General features: G+C 45.4%; 2 protein-coding genes across 4 annotated transcripts in view, besides 1 other annotated feature; both read right to left on the reverse strand.

The window, feature by feature from the left end:
* Positions 1-20,984, reverse strand: part of MMP24-AS1-EDEM2 (MMP24-AS1-EDEM2 readthrough) — a 162,759-nt gene that overhangs the window by 8,111 nt on the left and 133,664 nt on the right. Inside the window, exons 8-13 of the mRNA NM_001355008.2 lie at positions 18,899-19,004; positions 14,406-14,531; positions 11,264-11,475; positions 8,168-8,309; positions 2,777-2,901; positions 416-560 (exon numbers count right to left, since the gene is read on the reverse strand). Coding sequence (NP_001341937.1) covers positions 416-560; positions 2,777-2,901; positions 8,168-8,309; positions 11,264-11,475; positions 14,406-14,531; positions 18,899-19,004 — 856 coding nt within the window. The remainder of the gene's footprint in view (positions 1-415; positions 561-2,776; positions 2,902-8,167; positions 8,310-11,263; positions 11,476-14,405; positions 14,532-18,898; positions 19,005-20,984) is intronic.
* Positions 1-20,984, reverse strand: part of EDEM2 (ER degradation enhancing alpha-mannosidase like protein 2) — a 31,973-nt gene that overhangs the window by 8,111 nt on the left and 2,878 nt on the right. For all 3 annotated transcript variants that reach the window (NR_026728.2, NM_001145025.2, NM_018217.3), the window contains 6 exons: positions 18,899-19,004; positions 14,406-14,531; positions 11,264-11,475; positions 8,168-8,309; positions 2,777-2,901; positions 416-560 (listed from right to left, as the gene is read on the reverse strand). Coding sequence is in view for 2 of the 3 variants with exons in the window: in NM_001145025.2 (NP_001138497.1) it covers positions 416-560; positions 2,777-2,901; positions 8,168-8,309; positions 11,264-11,475; positions 14,406-14,531; positions 18,899-19,004 (856 nt within the window). In the remaining variant the exon portion in view is untranslated. The remainder of the gene's footprint in view (positions 1-415; positions 561-2,776; positions 2,902-8,167; positions 8,310-11,263; positions 11,476-14,405; positions 14,532-18,898; positions 19,005-20,984) is intronic.
* Positions 9,898-11,097: an enhancer, noted in NCBI's record as "MED14-independent group 3 enhancer chr20:33721175-33722374 (GRCh37/hg19 assembly coordinates)". NCBI's record gives its function as "activates an origin of replication core promoter dependent on BRD2, BRD4, P300/CBP and CDK7 cofactors, and independent of MED14, by STARR-seq in HCT116 cells {active_cell/tissue: HCT116}" and the evidence as "EXISTENCE:reporter gene assay evidence [ECO:0000049][PMID:35650434]".

Raw genomic sequence — 20,984 nt, forward strand, 5'->3', positions numbered from 1 at the left:
CCAGCTACTCGGGAGGCTGAGGCAGGAGAATCGCTTGAACCCAGGAGGCGGAGGTTGCGGTGAGCCGAGATCACACCATTGCACTTCAGTCTGGGCAACAATAGCGAAACTCCATCTCAAAAAAATAAAAATAAAAAAGAGCATGCAATTTAGTTAGGAGCCCTGGGTTCCAGGCCTAGCTCCTGCACTTAAGAGCCAGAGGCGAGCCATTTCATCCCACTAGGCCTCAGTTTCCATATCTGAAAACATGGGGATAATTAACTCCTAGTAAGAAAACCACCCAGAGCCACTGAAAGGAACAGATGGAAAGAAATGAACTTGTGGGCAGTTGTGGAGGATGGAGCCTTGTAGAGGGGATTTGGGGTTTCAGCAACCAGAGCCTGTGGGCAGATGACAAGCCAGAAATGCTGCTCACCTGGCCGAAGTGGGTAGCCCTCTCGCTTCTCCACTGTGTATCCCTGAGGAATGTTGTAGAATTCCGGGAGCCCCCCAAACTGCTTCCATACAGTGTAGTAGTTGAGGAAGGTCCTCATGGCATTGTCAATGTCTCCAATGAGGCTCTGTGGGAGAAAGTGGCTGTCAGGCAGGTAGACACCAGGCATAAAACCCCACAGACAACCTTAAGAAAAGACAAAGTAAAATCTGTGGGGCCAAAAAGGCCTTGAATCAATCCCTGAGTCTGCCAGTTACTCAGTGTGGTGCTGAGCCAGGCACTGGACTTCTCTGAGCCCCATCTATAAAACGTAAAATACACCACCTATCTCATGCATTGTTGGAAGGAACAAAGATTGTATATTAAGTCCCTAAATCTTCAGAGTCAATGTCAGCTAACAGTTTTGGAATTCGGCCAGCCAGTTAAAAATTCTAAGAATAGAGAAAAGTTTGTGCTAAGGCTCACTCCCACACCACACCCCCAAAAGATAACCATTTTTGTTTTTGTTTTTGAGACAGGGTCTCGCTCTGTCACCTAGGCTGGAGTGCAGTGGCACAATCACGGTTCATTACAGCCTTGACCTCCTGGGCTCAAGAGATCCTCTCACCTCAGCCTCCCAGTGCTAATTTTTTTATTTTCTGTAGAGATGGGGGTCTCACTTTGTTGCCCAGGCTGGTCTTAATCTCCTGGGCTCAAGTGATCCTCCTACCTCAGCCTTCCAAAGTGCTGGGATTACAACCATCACCCATCTTGCCTGGCCTCAGATAAACATTACTGGTTTCTTGTATAACCTTTCAGAGTTTCTTTATGCATGAGTATATGTTATTTTCCCCACACTAAAAAATAGCCTTTGGTTCTTTATTAATAGGGATATTAATTATCTCCATATTTTTAGATATGGAAATTTGGCTTTCAGATATTTTTATTTGAATTGGTTCCAACAACTAATGTGGCAATAAATAATTCTGTATATATGTCACATCAAATAGATGTAAAATGTTATGTGTAAGATACATTTTCAGAATTAGGATCACTGGGTCAAAGGATATATGCATTTATAATTTTACCACTATTGCTAAGTAGCCATTACTATTAATGTAATCTCACAGGGAAGCAGCTGACCCTGACATCTTCATTGGATGTCTCATGGACAGAACAAACTTGGCACTTCCTAAACAAAATTCTTGGTTCCCTTACTTTCCCACGAAATTGCCTCCCTACTTTGGCCTTTTTCCCTTCTTGGTAAATGACACAATGTCTACCTGGTTATTCTGGATAGAAACCCGGTGGCCACTTTTTTTTTTTTTTTTTGAGACAGGGTCTCACTCTGTCACCCAGGCTGCAATGGCATGATCATGGCTCACTGCAGCCTTGATCTTCTGGGTTCAAGCAATCCTTCCACTGCAGTCTCCTGAGTAGCTGGGACTACAGGCATGTGCCACCACCCTAGGCTAATTTTTTATTTTTATTTTTATTTATTTATTTTTATTTTTTTGAGACGGAGTCTTGCTCTGTCATCCAGGCTGGAGTGCAGTGGCGCAATCTCAGCTCACTGCAAGCTCCGCCTCCCAGGTTCATGCCATTCTCCTGCCTCAGCCTCCCGAGTAGCTGGGACTACAGGCGCCCACCACCACGCCCAGCTAATTTTTTGTATTTTTAGTAGAGATGGGGTTTCACCGTGTTAGCCAGGATGGTCTCAATCTCCTAACCTTGTGATCCGCCTGCCTCGGCCTGCCAAAGCGCTGGGATTATAGGCCTGAGCCACCGCGCCCGACCTAATTTTTTATTTTTTGTAGAGATGAGGTCTCACTATGTTGCCCAGGTGGGACTACTTTTTCTTAAAACTTTTAAAAACGTAGATTATAAAAACATTTTGGTACATGCACTATTTTGGAACACCAAAGTGGGGTAGATTAGATAAGCTCTAAGATCCTTCCAGCTGCAACTCTACCAGACCATGTAATGGAAAAACAACGAGATGGCACAGCGGCACAAGCTGCTTCCTGCCCTTCCTGAGGCCCACTGTCAAGAATGAGATTGGACAGAAACGCCCAGTGGAGAAACACCTGTTGCCAATGGCCATTCCTGCCCAGACTGGAAATGCACTGTCGACTTTAAGTACTGTAACACTCCATGGCAAACTGGAAGCTCAGTTCCTGACACTCAATTTGGCAGAACTCTAAATCTATCTAATTCACTCTAGGTCTCTCTTCCATCCTCAACCTGTCCCTCCAAAAAAAGTACTCAAGCAATTAACAAAGTACATTATTTGACTTATACATCAGAATGAGCTTGCTTTGCCAGACTCATAGAAAGATGATCACATTCTTTGATCATTCCTACCTGAAGACCAGGCCAGTAGGCCTCCAAGGACTGGAAGACTGGCATGGACACAGTCCCCTTGTACATCTGAACCCACAGGTACCAGTCATCGAAGCGGGTGTAGTTCCGGATGGCTTTGTTATACTCTGCAGTGGGGGAGATGGGATAATGGACATATGAGTGATTAGGGAGAAAAAAGGCAGGCCTGGACAGCGGAAGCGAGAACTTACACTTTGGAAAGAGCACCAGGATGCAATGAGGCAAGGAGGCTAGACAAGAGCATGGATTCTGGAGTCAAACTTCCAGCTCAAATTCCAGCTCCAGCTCTACCACTTGCTAACCGTGACCTGGGGTGGGTTTTTCCCTTTTAAGCCTCAGCCTTATGATCTATAAAATGGGGAGGCCAGGCGTGGTGGCTCACATCTATAATCCCAGCACTTTGGGAGGCCGAGGTGGGCGGATCACCTGAGATTGGGAGTTCGAGACCAGCCTGACCAACACGGAGAAACCCTGTCTCTACTAAAAATACAAAATTAGCCAGGTGTGGTGGTGCATGCCTGTAATCTCAGCTACTTGGGAGGCTGAGGAAGGAGAATTGCTTGAACCCAGGAGGCGGAGGTTGCTGTGAGCTGAGATCGCACCATTGCACTCCAGCCTGGGCAACAAGAGTGAAACTCCATCTCAAAAAGAAAAAAGCAGAAAATAATTGATGTGGTTTGGCTGTGTCCCCACCTAAATCTCACCTTGAATTGTAGCTCCCATATTTCTCACGTGTTGTGGAAGGGACCTGGTGGGAGATAATTGAATCATGGGGGCCGTTTCCCCCATACTGTTCTCATGGTAGTGAATAAGTCTCACAAGATCTGATGGTTTTATAAGAGGTTTCCCCTTTCACTTGGCTCTCATTCTCTCTTGCCTGCACCATGTAAGATGTGCCTTTCGCCTTCCGCCACGATTGTGAGGCCTCCCCAGCCATGTGGAACTGTGAGTCCATTAAACCTCTTTTTCTTTATAAATTACCCAGTCTTGAGTACGTCTTTATCAGCAGTGAAAATGGTCTAATACAGTAATGTTAGGTATCTGTGGAATTTTTCAGTCATTTATTTATACCACAAACATTCGCTAAGCACCTACTAGGTTCCAGGCTCCTATGAGTTTGTAAACAAGACAAAATCCAGCCTTCAGAGAACTTACATTCTAGTAGGAACTTGAATTTATCCCTCATATCTCTCCCCTAGATTGTAAATCCATGAGGCCTGGGACTTTGTTTTGTCTACTGCAGAATCCCCCACACTAGTACAATGAGCAATAAACATTTTCTGAATGAACAAAGTACCAAATATACATGCAAATAAATAAGATAATCTCAAACAGGAGTTGTAAGGATTATATGAAACAGTCCATGTTCAGAGCTTGGCACAATGCTTGGTACATCCGTGGTATTCAATAAATATTTGTTGAATAAATGAGTAAAGTAGTCCCCCCTTATGTGAGGAGAATACGTTCCAAGACCCTCAGTGGATGTCTGAAACCATGGATAGTACTAAATAAACTCTATATACAGTCATGTGCCATATAACAACATGTTGGTCAACACTGAACTGTAGAGATGGTGGTCCTATAAAATTATAATAGAGGTGAAAAATCACCACAGCCTAAAGATATCACAGCTGTTGTAATTTTATAATGCAATGCATTACTTACTTGTTTGTGGTGATACTGGTGTAAACACACCTACTGTGCTGCCAGTCATAAAAGTATAACACATACAATTATGTATAGTACGTGATATTTAATAAACAACCATTTACGCGTTTATGTATTTACTATATTATTATCATTAGATAACTCCTTCCTCTTATATAAAAAAAGTCGGCTGGGCGTGGTGGCTCACACCTGTAATCCCAGCACTTTGGGAGGGCGAGGTGGGCGGATCACGAGGTCAGTGTTAGACCATCCTGCCTAACACGGTGAAACCCCATCTCTACTAAAAATACAAAAAAATTAGCTGGGTGTGGTGGCGGGCGCCTGTAATCCCAGCTACTCGGGAGGCTGAGGCAGGAGAATGGCGTGAATCCGGGAGGTGGAGTTTGTAGTGAGCGGAGATCACACCACTGCACTCCAGCCTGGGCAACAGAGCAAGACTCTGTCTCCAAAAAAAATAAAAACAAAAACAAAAATTAGCTGGGCGTAGTGGTGGGTGCCTATAATCCCAGCTGCTCAGGAGGCTAAGACAGGAAAATCACAGGAGAATTGAACCTGGGAGGCGGAGGTTGCAGTGAGCCGAGATGGTGCCACTGCACTCCAGCCTGGGCAACATAAGCAAAACTCTGTCTAAAAAAAAAAAAAAAATGAAACAGCTTCAGGCAGGTCCTTCAAGGAATTCCAGAAGGCATTGTTATCAATCATCTGAGATAACAACAGTTCTGTGAGTGTTACTGCCCCCAAAGACCTTCTAGCAGGATAACATGGGGAAGTGGAAGACAGTGATATTGATGATACTGACCCTAGGCCTAGGCTAATGTGTGTTTGTAGCTTAGTTTTTAACAAAAAAGTCTAAAAGGTGAAAACAAAATAAAAAACTAAAAACAGAAAAAAACTTAGAGAATAAGGATATAAATAAAATATTTCTGTATAGCTGTACAATGTGTTTTAAGCTAAGCATTATTACAAATGAGTCAAAAAGTTTTTTAAAATTTTAAAGTTCATAAAGTAAAAAAGTTACAGTAAGCTAACGTTAATTTATTATTGGAGGCCAGGCATGGTGGCTCACGCCTCTAATCCCAGCACTTTGGGAGGCCAAGGTGGGTGGAGATCACCTGAGATCAGGAGTTTGAGACCAGCCTGGCCAACATGGTGAAAACCCATCCATCTCTACTAAAAATACAAAAATTAGGCCAGGCACGGTGGCTCACGCCTGTAATCCTAGCACTTTGGGAGGCCGAGGCGGGTGGATTGCCTGAGCTCAGGAGTTCAAGACCAGCCCGGGCAACACAGTGAAACCCCATCTCTACTAAAATACAAAAAATTAGCTGGGCATGGCAGCGTGCACCTGTAATCCCAGCTACTCGGGAGGCTGAGGAAGGAGAATTGCTAGAACCCGGGAGGCAGAGGTTGCAGCGAGCCGATATTGCACCACTGTACTCCAGCCTGGGCAACAGAGTGAGACTCTGTCTTTAAAGAAAAAAAAAATCAGCCAGGCATGGTGGTGGGCGCCTGTAATCCCAGCTACTCAGGAGGCTGAGGCAGGAGAATCACTTGAACTGGGGAAGCAGAGGTTGCAGTAAACCAAGATCATGCCACTGCACTCCAGCCTGGGCAACAGAGCAAGACTCTATCTCAAAAAAAAAAAAAAAATTTATTACTGGAGAAAGAAAAAAAAATTTAAATAAATTTAGTATAGCCTAAGTGTACAGTATTTATAAAGTTTACAATAGTGTAATGTCCTAGACCTTGACATTCACTCACCACTCACTGACTCACCCAGAGCAACTTCCTGTCCTGTGAACTTCATTCATGTGCCCTTTTATACTGTATTTGTACTGTACTTTTTCTATGTTTATATACATACTTACCATTCTATTACAATTGTCTATAGTATTCAGTAGAGTAACATGCTGTACAGGTTTGTAGCCTAGGAGCAATAGGCTACACCATATAGCCTAGGTGTGTAGTTGGCTATACCATCTAGGTTTGCTTAAGTACACCCTATGATGTTTGCACAATGATGAAATCACCTAACGATGCAATTCTCAGACTATATCCCTGTCATTAAGCAATGCGTGACTACTGTTTTCCTATACATACACATCTATGAGAATTCTTAATTCATTAAATTTTTAAAAATTTTTATTTTTGAGACAGGGTCTTACTCTGTCACCCAGGCTGAAATGCAGTGGTATGATCACGGTTCACTGCACCCTTGACCTCCCAGGGTCAAGCAATCCTTCACCTTGGCCTCCCAAGTAGTGGGGACTACAGGCACGCACCATCATGCCCAGCAAATTTTTTTTTATTTTTTGTAGAGACGAGGTCTCACCATGTTGCCCAGGCTGATCTTGAACTTCTGGGGTCAAGCAATTCTCTCGCCTCAGCTTCCCAAAGCACTGGGATTAAAGGCATGAGCCACTGTGCCTAGCCGAAAAAGTTTAATTTATAAATTAGGCATGGGAAGAGATTAACAACAATAACTAATAATAAAGCAGAACAAGTATAACAATATATGTTATAGAAGTTATGTGAATTTGTCTTTTTGGTAAGAGACAGGAAAAAAAGAAATTATGTAAATTTAGTGCCTCAAAATATCTTTGTTTTTTTAGAGAGGGGGTCTTACTATATTGCCCAGGCTGGTCTCAAACTCCTGGCCTCAAACAATCCTCACTTCCAAAAAACTGGGACTACAGGCGTGAGCCACTGCACCCAGCCTCAAAATATCGTATCTGACTGTACTCACCTATTTTCAGACTGCAGTTGACCATGGATAACTGAAACCATGGAAATCAAAACTGTGGATAACGGGGGACTACTGTAGCTATAATAATAATAGTAATTAGGTGCTCAACAATTCCTCAAGATTGCTAGTGTCTAAGGGCCTGGCGGGTAAGATGTATTTATTCAACAGGTATTAATCTATTACCTACCACATGTAAAGCACTGTGGGGAACATAAGATGAGTAAGGCATGGATTCTGCATTCAATTTGTAGAGCTGTAACTGTTGATGAGAGCTAACTGCAAGAAAGATGCTGAAGGTCCCAAATTCTGTAGAAGGATCAAGCTACTTCCTGGGCAAGGCGACATTTAAGTTAGGCTTTGAAGGGTGAAAAGAATTTGGACATAGGAAGACAGGAAAAAAGACATTCTAGGCAAAGAAGATGCCATGTGCAATGGCCAGGAGATAAGAAATCCAGGGCTACATACACAGAATGCAGCACGCTTCAGTTGGCTTTTGCAAGAAGGCATCAAGTGCTGTAGTGGGCATGAAGTGGGCAGTGTAAGTCCATAGTGACTCTGAATTCAGAACTGATTCTGCAGGCACTCAGGCCAGGCGTGGTGGCTCACACCTGTGATCCCAACACTTTGGGAGGCCAAGGCGGGCAGATCACCTGAGGTCCGGAGTTTGAGACCAGCCTGGCCAACATGGTGAAACCCCGTTTCTACTAAAAATACAAAAATTAGCTGGATGTGATGGTGTGCGCCTGTAGTCCACACCATCACATGCCCAGCTACTCAGGAGGCTGAGGCATGAGAATCACTTGAACCTGGGAGGCAGAGGTTGCAGTGAGCCTAGATTGTGCCACTGCACTCCAGCCTGGGAGATGGAGCAAGACTCTGTCTCAAAAAAAAGTTTTTAAACAAATCACACATCAGCAAGAAAAATGAGGGGAAAAGCTCCCTTACTCTGCCATTTTTACCTAGGAACATGGCCATGAGCTTCTTATCCTGAAGCAGGATGGCTCCTTTCACCAAGTACTCAAAGTAGGAGTCCACGCCAGCCCCGATGCCTGCGTCCTGGGCCACCCACTTGCCAGTGAGCACATCAATGTGGTTGCCGACCTGAGAGAGAGAAAGACACACGGTCCCAACGGGAAGGCCGATGGCCAAAGAAGGATCTACTCACCCCCAACCCTGACTGCCCAGGGAGATGCAGGGCAGGTGCCCCAGTGCTTCTTGGGAAACATGCAGACCCTGAGAGGGAAGGGCAATGCTGGATCATGGCCAGCCTTCCTGTACATCTGCATAGTAGAGATGCATCTCATGCACATTTATGAGGACTTAATTATACACATTGAGCAAAAAATGAAAAAGAAAAATGATTTGGAGTGTTTATGTCCTGCCTAGAGTGAGTGTGAGATGGGAGATGAGAATTTGCTGTTGCCGCAATCTGTCTGATTTCTCAGCACCCAGCATGTGATTCCACTATCTGAAGACACAGACGTGCTTTACGTATTTCCATAAATTAACTCAATAAGAACATCCACCAAGAAGCTGACAGAGTGGTTCTAAGGAGAGAAACCGAATAGCTGGAGACAGGGGCAAAAGGGGACTTCACCAATGTCACTGAGTACCCTTTTTTGTATCCTTTGACTTTTTTTTTTTTAATTGTTCAGTCTCTGTAGAGACTGTGAAAAATTGGCAATGCCGGCCAGGCGCGGTGGCTCATGCCTATAATCCCAGCACGTTGGGAGGCTGAGGGGGGCAAAATCACTGGAGGTCAGAAGTCCGAGACCAACTTGGCCAACATGGTAAAACCCTGTCTCTAATAAAAACACAAAAATTAGCCAGGCATGGTGGTGTGTGCCTATAATCCCAGCTACTCAGGAGGCAGAGGCATGAGAATCACTTGAACCCAAGAGGGGGAGGTTGCAGTGAGCCGAGATCGTGCCACTGCACTCCAGCCTGGGCGACAGGGGGAGACTCTGTCTCAAAAAAATAAACAAAGATACGTATTTTTCTATTTTATTGTATTTATTTTATTTTTTGTATTTTTAGTAGAGACATGGTTTCTCCCTGTTGGTCAGGCTGGTCTCGAACTCCCGACCTCAGGTGATACGCCTGCCTTGGCCTCCCAAAGTGCTGGGATTACAGGCGTGAGCCACTGCGCCCAGCCAAATATATGTATTTTTCATATGGCTTAGACCCTCATGGAAGCTGGTAACTTCATCTGGTACTCAAAGAAATAGCTAACTGTTCCGCGTTGGTTTGTGTCCCCCCAGGAGCACAACCTCATTCTGCCTGAAAGTAGTTGATTTGGAAGGTAAGTCCTTGTAAACACCAGTAGAGGAGGGGGAAGTGAGGCAGGGCAAGGGAGGCGGCATTTAAGGGGTATGCCATCAGGCAGGTTTCCACCATGGGAACTGGAGTTCAATCTTGCTGGGGAGCTTAGGAATTCAGTGTAGAGCTCCAGCTTCGGAGTGATCCCACCCAAGGGGCAGGGAACTGGAATGTTTATCCACCAACTCCCATCAGTATCAGTTACCGGCTTGAGAGCTACTCATGGGTAGCATTAAATCCTGGTACCCTCAGCCAAAGGCAAGCAGAGTGGCTCCAGGCACCAGAGGAGACCCACAGGCAAAGAGGCGCAGGTGATGGCAGTTGGAAGACTGGCCAGTGTGCATGGAAATGTTAAGAGTTGAGAGGATATGGGCATGGCACCAACAGAGTCTACTACGGTCCCACTGCTGGAGCAAAACCTGCCTGAGATGGACTAAGGGATTTACTACAGGTCTCCAGCGGGGCACCTTTTTTTTTTTTTTGAGATGGAGTTTCGCTCTTGTTGCCCAGGCTGGAATGCAATGGCGCGATCTCGGCTCATCCCAACCTCCACCTCCCAGGTTCAGGCAATTCTCCTGCCTCAGCCTCCCAAGTAGCTGGGATTACAGGCATGCACCACCACGCCCGGCTAATTTTGTATTTTTTAGTAGAGATGGGGTTTCTCCATGTTGGTCAGGCTGGTCTCGAACTCCCAATCTCAGGTGATCCGCCCGCCTCAGTCTCCCAAAGTGCTGGAATTACAGGCGTGAGCCACCGCACCCAGCCTTAGGGGGGCACCTTCTTAAGGGATTTTCGGGGAGTCCTCACACAAGCTTTACTTTTCAAGCTGGATTAGCACCAGACTGCATAAAATGTGCCTAGACCTAAATGCAGTCTTCCTAAGTCAGAGTGACTCAGCAAAGTTGGTATTAATATATTAACGTTACTGCTGAAGTAACTGAGGACCAGAGAGGTTGAGTGACTTGCTCAGGGTCACACAGTTTCGATGTAGCAAGGCCAGGGCTTGAATCCAGTTCTGACTAAATCCAGTGTTATGTCCTGGATGGCTTTGGCTCAATTACTGTTAATCTTATTGATTATCCCATTTAGAAGCTGAAACTGACCTTAGAGATCATCTGGTCCAAAGTGTGTTCAATTTCCATGGGTTAATAGTACTGGAAGATAAAGGGAAGCTCTGGTGTTAAATAAGTTTGGGAAATGTTAAATTAAACAAAGTTGAATAGATTTCTTTACTAGAGGATTTTTATTCTGCTCATGTGCATTCTGACTCTCCAAAAAAGGGGGGGATATTATATCTAATATTCCCCTAACTTAATTGGCCAAGACTCATTTTTTCATGCAACTGCCACTCAGTATCTCTCAGAACCGGTGTCCTAAGAAACACAGCAAATACAGATAGACGCTAAAAATGAAGGCCGGACGAGCTGATGATCTGAAGCCGTCAAGTGAGTCAGGGGCATGAAACATACGACCCTCTTCCTAGAAATCAGAGAATCTCAACTGGTCAAAGCTGAATGCAGCCCCTGCTGCCTGCCAGAAACGTGCTTTCCCACTCTCCTCCCCACTCCAAGCCAAACTTGAATTGGAGGCTTGGTCTATTTTTGGTGTCCTGAGCCCAAATCCTGGACCACTCCCAAGGTCACCCTAAGTTTTCCTTGGCTTGACTGCAACTTATTGCTCAGAGCCCTGGGCCTCGTAAGCAGGGACTCAAACAGGAAGGGCAGCAGCGAACCTACCAGCCCGATATCTGACCGGCTCTCCCAGAGGCGCATCAAAGCCACTCTGGCCACATCTTCGAACACCGGGTCACCAGTGAGGCTGCTCAGGGTGGCAAATTCAACAATGAAGGTCCCAATCCCTGCCGTACAGGTGACAGGGGTCTCTCCTGGGTTCACGCCATGAAGTAAGTTCACTGTTCCATATGGCATGCCAGTGGGGGTCTGAAAGGCTGAACAATCGACAAATTATGATCCCGGACAGGAGCAGGGGGATAGGGATAGTTCTGATACACGCCCAAAGCCTGGGACCTTAGCCAGCACTTCCCTCTTTCTCCTGGGTATCCTGCTAGAGTCTGAGCCAGAGAAAGATAAATGTCATAACTGGAGGGCCCTGAGCAGCCACCCAGCCCAGATGCTGTCAAACACTGCTCTGCATAACCTTGGGTTCCTGCTCATCATGAGGGGGCAGGGAGCAGGCTGTGCTCCACACACACTCGCTTTAGCTAGAGAGCTTTACCTATTTTTATTTATTTTACACTACGCCTTCAAAGCCCAGGCAGGTAACTTATTGTGATGCAGGCAGGGTTTAAGCCACAGAAAGTGGTGGGGCTTGTGGCACAATGACAAGAGTAAGCCCCGTTCAAAGCCATTCATAGACTTTTGGCTCACGCCTATAATCCCAGCACTCTGGGTGGCCAAGGCAGGCAGATCACTTGAGGCCAGGAGTTCGAGACCAGCCTGGCCAACATGGTGAAACCCTATTTCTACTAAAAATACAAAAATTAGGCAAGCGTGGTGGTGCACGCCTGTAATTCTGGCTATCTGGGAGACTGAGGCACGAGAATCGTTTGAACCCAAGAGGCGTGGGCTGCAGTGAGCTGAGATTGCACCACTGCACTCCAGCCTGGGTGACAGAGCGAGACCCTGTCTCAAAATAATAATAATAATAAACAAAGCCATTCATAGACTTTAAATAAAGATCTCTGCTTTAAATAAAGAGTATAGGGGCTAAATTATTTTTAAAGGGAAGCAAAATAGGATATAAACCACTAAACCACGGATATAGTATGACCCTCGATTTATAGGTAGGGAAAACCATGCCTGTAAAGAAGTAATTCAGCCACAGGTCACACAGAGAGAGTCAAACAGAGCTGGGATGGGAACGCCTCCCCTGTGCCCACCCCAGCCCCAGTCCAGTTCTCTGCCCGCCCCACCCAAGTGGCACCCAAGTGCCTTCTGGTTCAAGACGAGAACTGGACAACCAGCCAGAGGCAGAGATTTCCTCTCTGGGCCTAAAGGTCAAACAACTCCAGAGCAGCCTATGCGTCACCAAACTGTGAACAAAGGTGTCGACACTTCCAAGAACCACAGGGTCTAGCAACTGTGTCTGCCACAGACAAGAAACTTGCAATCTGGCAGGCACCAGCGGGAGAGCAAGTCACAACCAGGAAGGGCTCTAAGCAATATTTCAGAAAAAGTCAGGCTGTAATAAAAAGAAGAGGAGTGACAAAATCCTGTTTCTTGACCTTTTTTTATAAAATGACCAATGACCAAAAATAATTAAATTATAAAGGAGGAGCAGCTAGGCAGAGTTTCCAGAGTTTCCTCCAGGGATGAATCACACAGGACACAATGTCTGCAAGGAGACGCTCAAGCCATGAGCCATGAGCCATGAGTGAGACCTGAACCTAGCTCACCCGCTATCCTCAGCTCTCCCCCAAAGGAGAGGCAAGTGCTATGTGAGAAGGATAAAGAGGCCGGGTGTGGTGGCTCACGCCTGTAATCCCAACACTTTGGGAGTCCAAGGCAGATGGATCACTTGATCCCGGGAGTTCAAGACCAGCCTGGGCAACATGGTGAAACCCCATCTCTACAAAAAAAAATTTAGCCATGCATGGTGGCATCTGCCTGTAATCCCAGCTACTCAGGAGGCTGAGGTGGGAGAATCAACTGAGCCCAGAAGTTCGAGAGGCTGCAGTGAGCCATGATCACGCCACTGCACTCCAGCCTGGGCGACAGAGCAAGACCCTGTCTGAAAAAAAAAAAAAAAAAAAAATTAAGAAAGAAAAGGGATAAATAAGTGAGATGGCCAAGAGGTGATGGAAAGCACAGTGTGACGTGTCTGGGTGTGAACAGTCCTCAGAGCCTCCACCACACCCTGAAGGGAACACAGTGTACAGTTGATGCTACTGAGCCTGGTGTTACTGCCCCACTAGACAAAAACATGGAGGCTTGACCTGCAGCCCTGGACACAGCTTAGCCACAAAACAAATCCCTCTCGTTTTAAAAGTGTTGGACGTTCTCTAAGCAGTTTCTCCTTCCTGACCTCATTTTAGCCTCTCCAAAACCCGATGTGGTAGGGAAGTAGAAATTATGATTCTCATTTGATAGATGGGGAAACCAAACTGTGGAGAGAGGCCAGACACAGTGGCTCATGCCTGTAATCCCAGCACTTTGGGAGGCCGAGGCAGCCAGATCACTTGAGGTCAAGAGTTTGAGACCAGCCTGATCAACGTGGCGAAACTTCATCTCTACTAAAAAATACAAAAATTAGCTGGGCATGGTGGCAGGCGCCTGTAATCCCAGCTACTCAAGAGGCTGAAGCAAAAGAATTGCTTGAACCCAGGAGGCGGTGGTTACAGTGACTTGAGATTGTGCCACTGCACTCCAGCCTGGGCGACAGAACAAGACTCCATCACAAACAAACAAACAACAAACTATGAAGAGAAAGAGTGGCTTGGTCACGATGTTGGCTGGCAGAGCTGAGTCTAGAATCCAGGGCTGCTAATGCTCACACCAACACCCTTCCCTGGGCCCCTGTTACTCCAGCAGTGTGTGGAATAACTGTAGTACCTGGAAGGGGACAAATGGGCTCATTCAAAATAAGGGTAATGGCCTTCCACCCACCAGGCTGGCCACCTTCAACCATCCCCTGCAAACAATAATGAGGTCAACTCATCCATCCGGGTCAGGGCCCCAGCAGGCCCTTAAAATGCCCAGGACACTCCTGATTTCCATGGTGGGTGCCTGGTGGGTAGAAAGACCAAATACACCTGGTGAGAAATACCAGGAATTAATTCAGCACTGCCACTCTCATCTTCAGCAAGGGAAGCAGGACCTACTGGACTTCGTCTCTGCCCCATCTCTGTGTGGGTCTTACCTGGGAGGAGTTTTCGGGCCGCCTCCTCAGCCATTCTCAGGAGAGGCCCGGAACAGGGCCATCCAGCCTCTACTTCCACCCCAGCCTTCTTGGAGAGCAGATGAGCAGACAGGAGTCCTCCTACCACTACAGATGGCACAGAAAGCAAATGGCACAGTCCAAAGGGAAAGACCAAGGGATCAAGGATCTTTCCCCTGTGCGAGTTAAACATAAACACTCTATTGTGGGGCGCATGTTCTCAGGACCTCCTGAAGCTATTTCACGGGTAAAAACAAACAAACAAAAACCTCACTCTGTTGGGGTGGCTCACTGGGAAGGAGCTAGAGCCACCCAGCGAAAAAAGAGTCCCTTAATCCCACATATTTCTATGGTGTTAAGTTTATGGGGTTTTCTTCTCTTGGTTCATCACAGGAACAGTGGCTATTTTTTGTAAGTCCCTATTGTGTACCAAGCACTAAGTACTACTGTCCCCTCTTCGTATGAAGATACTGAGGTTCCATGAGATAAAGTGACTTGCCCCAGGTCACCCATCTAGTAGGTGGTAGGGCTGAGTATCTTTGATTCCAAAGCCCATGCTCATTCCATTTGTCACTCTGTCTGTCTCCCAGTCACCTGTCATACCTGGGGGGAAGGGGTAATGATGGTTATTACCTTTATTTTACTAATTTATCTATTTCAACTTATTATGCAATATGTAGAACTTTTTTTTTTTTTTTTTGAGACGGAGTCTCGCTCTGTCACCTAGGCTGGAGTGCAGTGGCGCGATTTCGGCTCACTGCAAGCTCCGCCTCCCAGGTTCACGCCGTTCTCCTGCCTCAGCCTCCCGAGTAGCTGGGACTACAGGAGCTCACCACCATGCCCGGCTAATTTTTTTGGATTTTTTTTTTGTAGACACGGTGTTTCACTGTGCTAGCCAGGATGGTCTCGATCTCCTGACCTCATGATCCACCTGCCTCAGCCTCCCAAAGTGCTGGATTTACAGGCATGAGCCACCGCACCCGGCCTACTTAGAACTTTTAAAAAGACACAAAGGTTCTTGGAAATACAGCTAAATAGATATCCTGAGTGGCCCTCTCAATGAAAATAACTGGTGACCCTAAGTTTCAAAATTCCCCTCCTCCCTGCAGAGGGGGAATAGGAGACCAAGGTCAGACCTGCCCCAAGTGGAAGTCTGATAAAAGGTCCCTATGCAGGCCAGGCATGGTGGCTCACATCTGTAATCCCAGCACTTTGGGAGCCGAGGTGGAGATCACGAGGTCAGGAGATGGAGACCATCCCGGCTAAAATGGTGAAACCCTGTCTCTACTAAAAATACAAAATATTAGCTGGGCGTGGTGGCAAGCGCCTGCAGTCCCAGCTACTTGGGAAGCTGAGGCAGAAGAATGGCTTAAACCCAGGAGGTGGAGGTTGCAGTGAGCCAAGATTGCACCACTGCACTTCAGCCTGGGTGACAGAGTGAGACTCCGTCTCAAAAAAAAAAAAAAAAAGTCTGGGCACGGTGGCTCATGCCTGTAATCCCAGCACTTTGGGAGGCTGAGGCAGGTGGACTGCCTGAGCTCAGGAGTTCGTGACCAGCCTGGTAAACACGGTGAAACCCTGTCTCTATTAAAAATACAAAAAATTAGCCGGGCATGGCGTTGTGCGCCTGTAGTCCCAGCTACTCGGGAGGCTGAGGCAGGAGAATTGCTTGAACCCAGGAGGCGGAGGTTGCAGTGAGCTGAGATCATGACACTGCACTCCAGCCTGGGCGACAGAGCGAGACTCCATCTCAGAAAAAAAAAAAAAAAGAAAAGAAAGAAAGAAAAGAAATCTACATGTATGTACCTTATGGTAAAACTGCAGAACACCAAAGGGAAAAATGATCTCGAATGCAGCCAGAATCCATGTAATAATAATTATTAATGCTGGGTGATGGGCACGTCTGGTTCATTATGCTATTTTCTCTACTTTTATGTTTGAAGTTTTCCATAACAAAAAGTTTTTAAAAGGAGAAGACAGCCAAAGTGAAAACCAAAACAAGATTCTCTACAAATAAATAATAATTACATTGACAGATTACTTCTTAACAATAATGAAACCAGAAGATAATGGAAAAAGTTTTTAACACAATAAGAGAAAGTAACCATCAACCTAGAACCATACACCCAGCAAAAATATCACTCAAAGGCCAACCAAAGGCAGTTGAATAAAGACATTTTCATATAAACAAAAGCTGGGAATGTTTATGAAGCACACACCTGCATTAAAGGAAATTCTAAAGGAAATACTTTAGAGAAAAGGTCTGAGACACGAAAAGAAAAAATAGTCAAAAAAGTGGTAAATAGGCCAGGCACAGTGGCTAAACCTGTAATTCCAGCACTTTGGGAAGCCAAAGCAGGTGGATCACTCAAGATCATGAGTTTGAGACCAGCCTGGCCAATGTGGTGAAACACCATCTCTACTAAAAATACAAAAATTAGCCTGGTGTGGTGGTGCACAACTGTAATCCCAGCTACTCTGGAGGCTGAGGCAGGAGAATCGTTTAAACCCAGGAGGTGGAGGTGAGCCAAGATCGCGCCACTGCACTCCAGCCTGGGTGGCAGAGTGAGACTCTATTTCAAACCAACAACAACAAAAAAAGTGGTAAATTTATGTGTAAATGCAAAACTTCAACAATATAGAACAAAAATTATAATGTATGGAAGGTTTAAAACAAATAACTAAAATATATAACTGTAGCATATAGGTCAGGATGTTCTCTAAGTCAGGTTTTGCATTATTCAGGAGGAGAACAAAGATTTTCATTAAATTTAGACTTTGATAAGTTATGTTTGTTAAATTTGCTTGGAAAACTATGTAAAAAGCTAGATATTGTGCATAATTTCCATATTAGTAAGAGGAAAATGGAATGGGGGGAAAACAATCTAAAGAAGGCATGAAAAAGGACAGAATAAAGGAACATAAAGAAGATGGCACAGGGCCAGGTGCAGTGGCTCACACCTATAATCCCAGCACTTTGGGAGGCTGATGGGGGGCGGATCACCTGAGGTCAGGAGTTCGAGACTAGCCTGGCCAACATGGTGAAACCCCATCTCTACTAAAAATACAAAAATTAGCAGGGCACGGTGGCAGGCACCTGCAATCCCAGCTACATAGGAGGCTGAGACAGGAGAATCGCCTGAACCCGGGAGGCAGAGGTTGCAGTAAGCCAAGATTGCACCACTACACTCCCGCCTGGGCGACAGAGTGAGACTCCGCCTCAAAAAAAAAAAAAAAAAAAAAAAAAAGAAGACGGCACAGAGAGCACAATACTGTAGAAATGAGTGCAAATATATCAGTAATTACAGTAAATGTAAATGGATTAAATGTGCCAGTTAAAGATTGTCAGAATGGATAAACAAAATATAATACACTATTTGCAAAAGATGTATCTAATCATAAAACTACAGAAAGATGGAAAGGATAGAAAAAGATACATGGGAAAATGTCAACCAAAAGAAAGCTGGTATCACTTATATTCCTATCAGAAATAAAGGTATAAGAATGACCTTCATTTACAGATGACAAACTGGGCTCAGAAGCTGGGAGACATAGCAGCAAGTACAGCCTCAAACTCAGGCCGGATTCCTAAACCAGGATTTTAGACCATGTTGTCCCTCTGCTCTCTTCTCTTTTTTAATCTTTTATGGATCATATGTCTGGAATATAAGTTTCATTGCAGAAAACATACAAAATAATGGGGAAAAATAGAACTCTGCCATCCAGAGGTGACAGCTGTTAAGTGGTCTAGAGGTTCGATGCAAATAAGGGCTGTGCTGGCTTCACAAGAATCACTGGAAGTCTGCTAAAAATACTGATTCTAGGACCCAACACAGAGATTCCAATTCATTAGGTTTAGGGTGGAGTCTCAACATCTGAATTTTTTAACCACTTGGGAGTGGTTCCTATGGGCTGCCAAGTTTGGAAGATTAATGCTGTAGATTTGCACTGTCCAATACAATAATCACTAACTACATGTGACTACTTAAATTTAATATCATTAAAATTAAATGAAATTAAAAATTCAATTCCATAGTTGTAGTAGATACATTTCAAATGCTCAATAGCTCATGTGGTTCGTGGCTACCATACTGGACAAAACACAGCTATAAGACATTTCCATCACTGCAGAAAATTGGATTGGACAGACAATAAGTTCCAAGAAGGCAAGGATCATATCTTTCTTGTTCATAGCTGTATGCCTAGTATCAAATACATATTAAAGAGGTGAGTAATCTGGTGTATTTCTTTCCAGTCTCTTAGTCTCCTGCTCACTTTCATATCTGAAACTGATGGGGAAATCCTGAGACTTCCCCACCTCACCCTCCAGGAGGGAAGAAGAGCTCTGTCGGTCAGAGGTTTTGGCCAAGGGTCCTGGCATGGTCAGTCCTTAAAATCCTATTTACCACTTCTTGGTTTACAGAGGCAACTTCACACTCTTTTTTCTTTTAAAGGTCCTAGAGAGCAGCCCTTACCTCGAATGTTTGTTTCAAACACAGAGGCGTTCACATCAATATCAAAGTCCACGCTGTCCTGGAGCACTTCAACCACTCTTTGGAATTCTGAGACATTCCCCAAAATCTGGAAATAAAAAAGAGACCTGACAATGAGGCTCTTACATGCATGGAGGCAGATTCAGAGTCTGGGATCCTATGTTGATGTGGCCCTCACTAATTCCACTTAAGACCTCCAGTTTCTGTCCTAGGATTGGTGACAGCAGAAGAAAACACTGAGAGCTAGAAATCATCTAGAGACTTCATACCAAGAGACTGGTTAAGTAAATTCCTAGGTCCCAATTAAGAGTCACGATGTTGTCATTTAAATGGACACAATATAAAGAACGCAAACTACGCATAGAAGTCTTAGGTTTTTTGTTTCGTTTTTTTGAGACAGAGTCTCGCTCTGCTGCCCAGGGTAGAGTGCAGTGGCGTGATCTTGGCTCACTTCAAACTCCGCCTCCTGGGTTCAAGCGATTCTCCTGCCTCAGCCCCGAGTAGCTGGGATTATGCACCACCATGCCCGGCTAATTTTTGTATTTTTAGTAGAGACGGGGTTTCACCATGTTGATCAGGCTGGTCTCAAACTCCTGACCTCATGATCCACCCGCCTTGGCCTCCCAAAGTGCTGGGATTACAGGTGTGAGCGACCGCACCTGGCCAAAAGTCTTAGTTTGACATTTGCAGTAGATACCAGTTGTCACCTTCAACCTTGTGGAAAACAGAACAGGTTGGTTGGCCCAAAACAAATTCATTCCTACCCTCTTTACCTCATGGCCTCCCACCAGAGGTTGGAAATCCAGAAGCTTTCTCGGCCTCCTTTGCTGCTGCAGTTGATTGTGTTACCCAGTCAATTCTGACCCTTGAGAGGTCTACTGGGGGCACTTCTGGGAAGGCTTCTGTTTTCTTAATACCAAGGGACAAACACAGCTAACATGGCTTTTAGTCTCTCTCTTTCTGCCTTGAACTCAGACTCGATTTCTGAAGTGATGGCAGCTATGTGAGACCATGACGTACTAAGCATTAGAATAAAAGCCAAAACACTAACGATACTAGAATGCAAAGCTACAAAGAGGCTGGTCTCTAATGACACAGTTGCGTAGCTGACCCAATGCTAGAAATTACCTCTAGACTTTCTTTTACTTGAGAAAATAAACCCTCTTTATTTAAACCGTTAGCCAAATGCAATCTCAATCTCTCTTCTTTTGATAGTAACATCTCAATTTACCCTCGAGGAATCACTCTTCCCCGGCAGTCACTCCTGTGGTTTGGGAGAGGCTGATCCCATCCCTCTAGCTGTGGAGTGGGTACTTGACCTGAACCAGTCCAAGTCTTTTTTTTGAGACAGGGTCTTGCTCTGTTACACAGGTTGGAGTGCAGTGGTGTGATCATAGCTCATCACAGCCTCGAACTCTGGGACTTGAGCAATGTTGGCCTCCCAAAGTGCTGGGATTACAGGCATGAGCCACCACACCTGGCCCTTTTTACCTTTCTAAGCATCAGGTTTCTTTTATATCTTTTTTTTGTTTGTGTGAGACAGGGTTTTACTCTGTTACCCAGACCAGAGTGCAGTGGTGCGATCTCGGCTCACTGCAACCTCTGCCTCCCTGACTCAAACAATCCTCCTACCTCACCCTCCTCCCTAACAAATGGAGCCACAGACATGTGCCATCATGCCTAATTTTTTATATTTTTGGTAGAGACGGGGTTTCACCATATTGCCCAGGCTGGTCTTGAACTCCTGTGCTCAAGCAGTCCTGCCGCCTTGGCCTCCCAAAGTGCTGGGATTACAGGCGTGAGCCACTGTGCCCATCCCTAAGCATCAGGTTTCTTAACGATAAGAAGGAGTAAAGGTACTAACCTCAAGAAGTTGTTAGAAGAATTAATACATGTCTGTACTAAGCCCTACAGAAACATACTAACTAGTCACTGATATTATTTCTTTATAATTTTTTTTGAGATGAAGTTTCACTCTTGTCACCCAGGCTGGAGTGCAATGGTGCAATCTCGGCTCACTGCAACCTCCGCCTCCCGGGTTCAGGCAATTCTCCTGCCTCAGCCTCTC

Source organism: Homo sapiens, chromosome 20 (assembly GCF_000001405.40).
Source record: "Homo sapiens chromosome 20, GRCh38.p14 Primary Assembly".
NCBI lineage: Eukaryota > Metazoa > Chordata > Mammalia > Primates > Hominidae > Homo > Homo sapiens.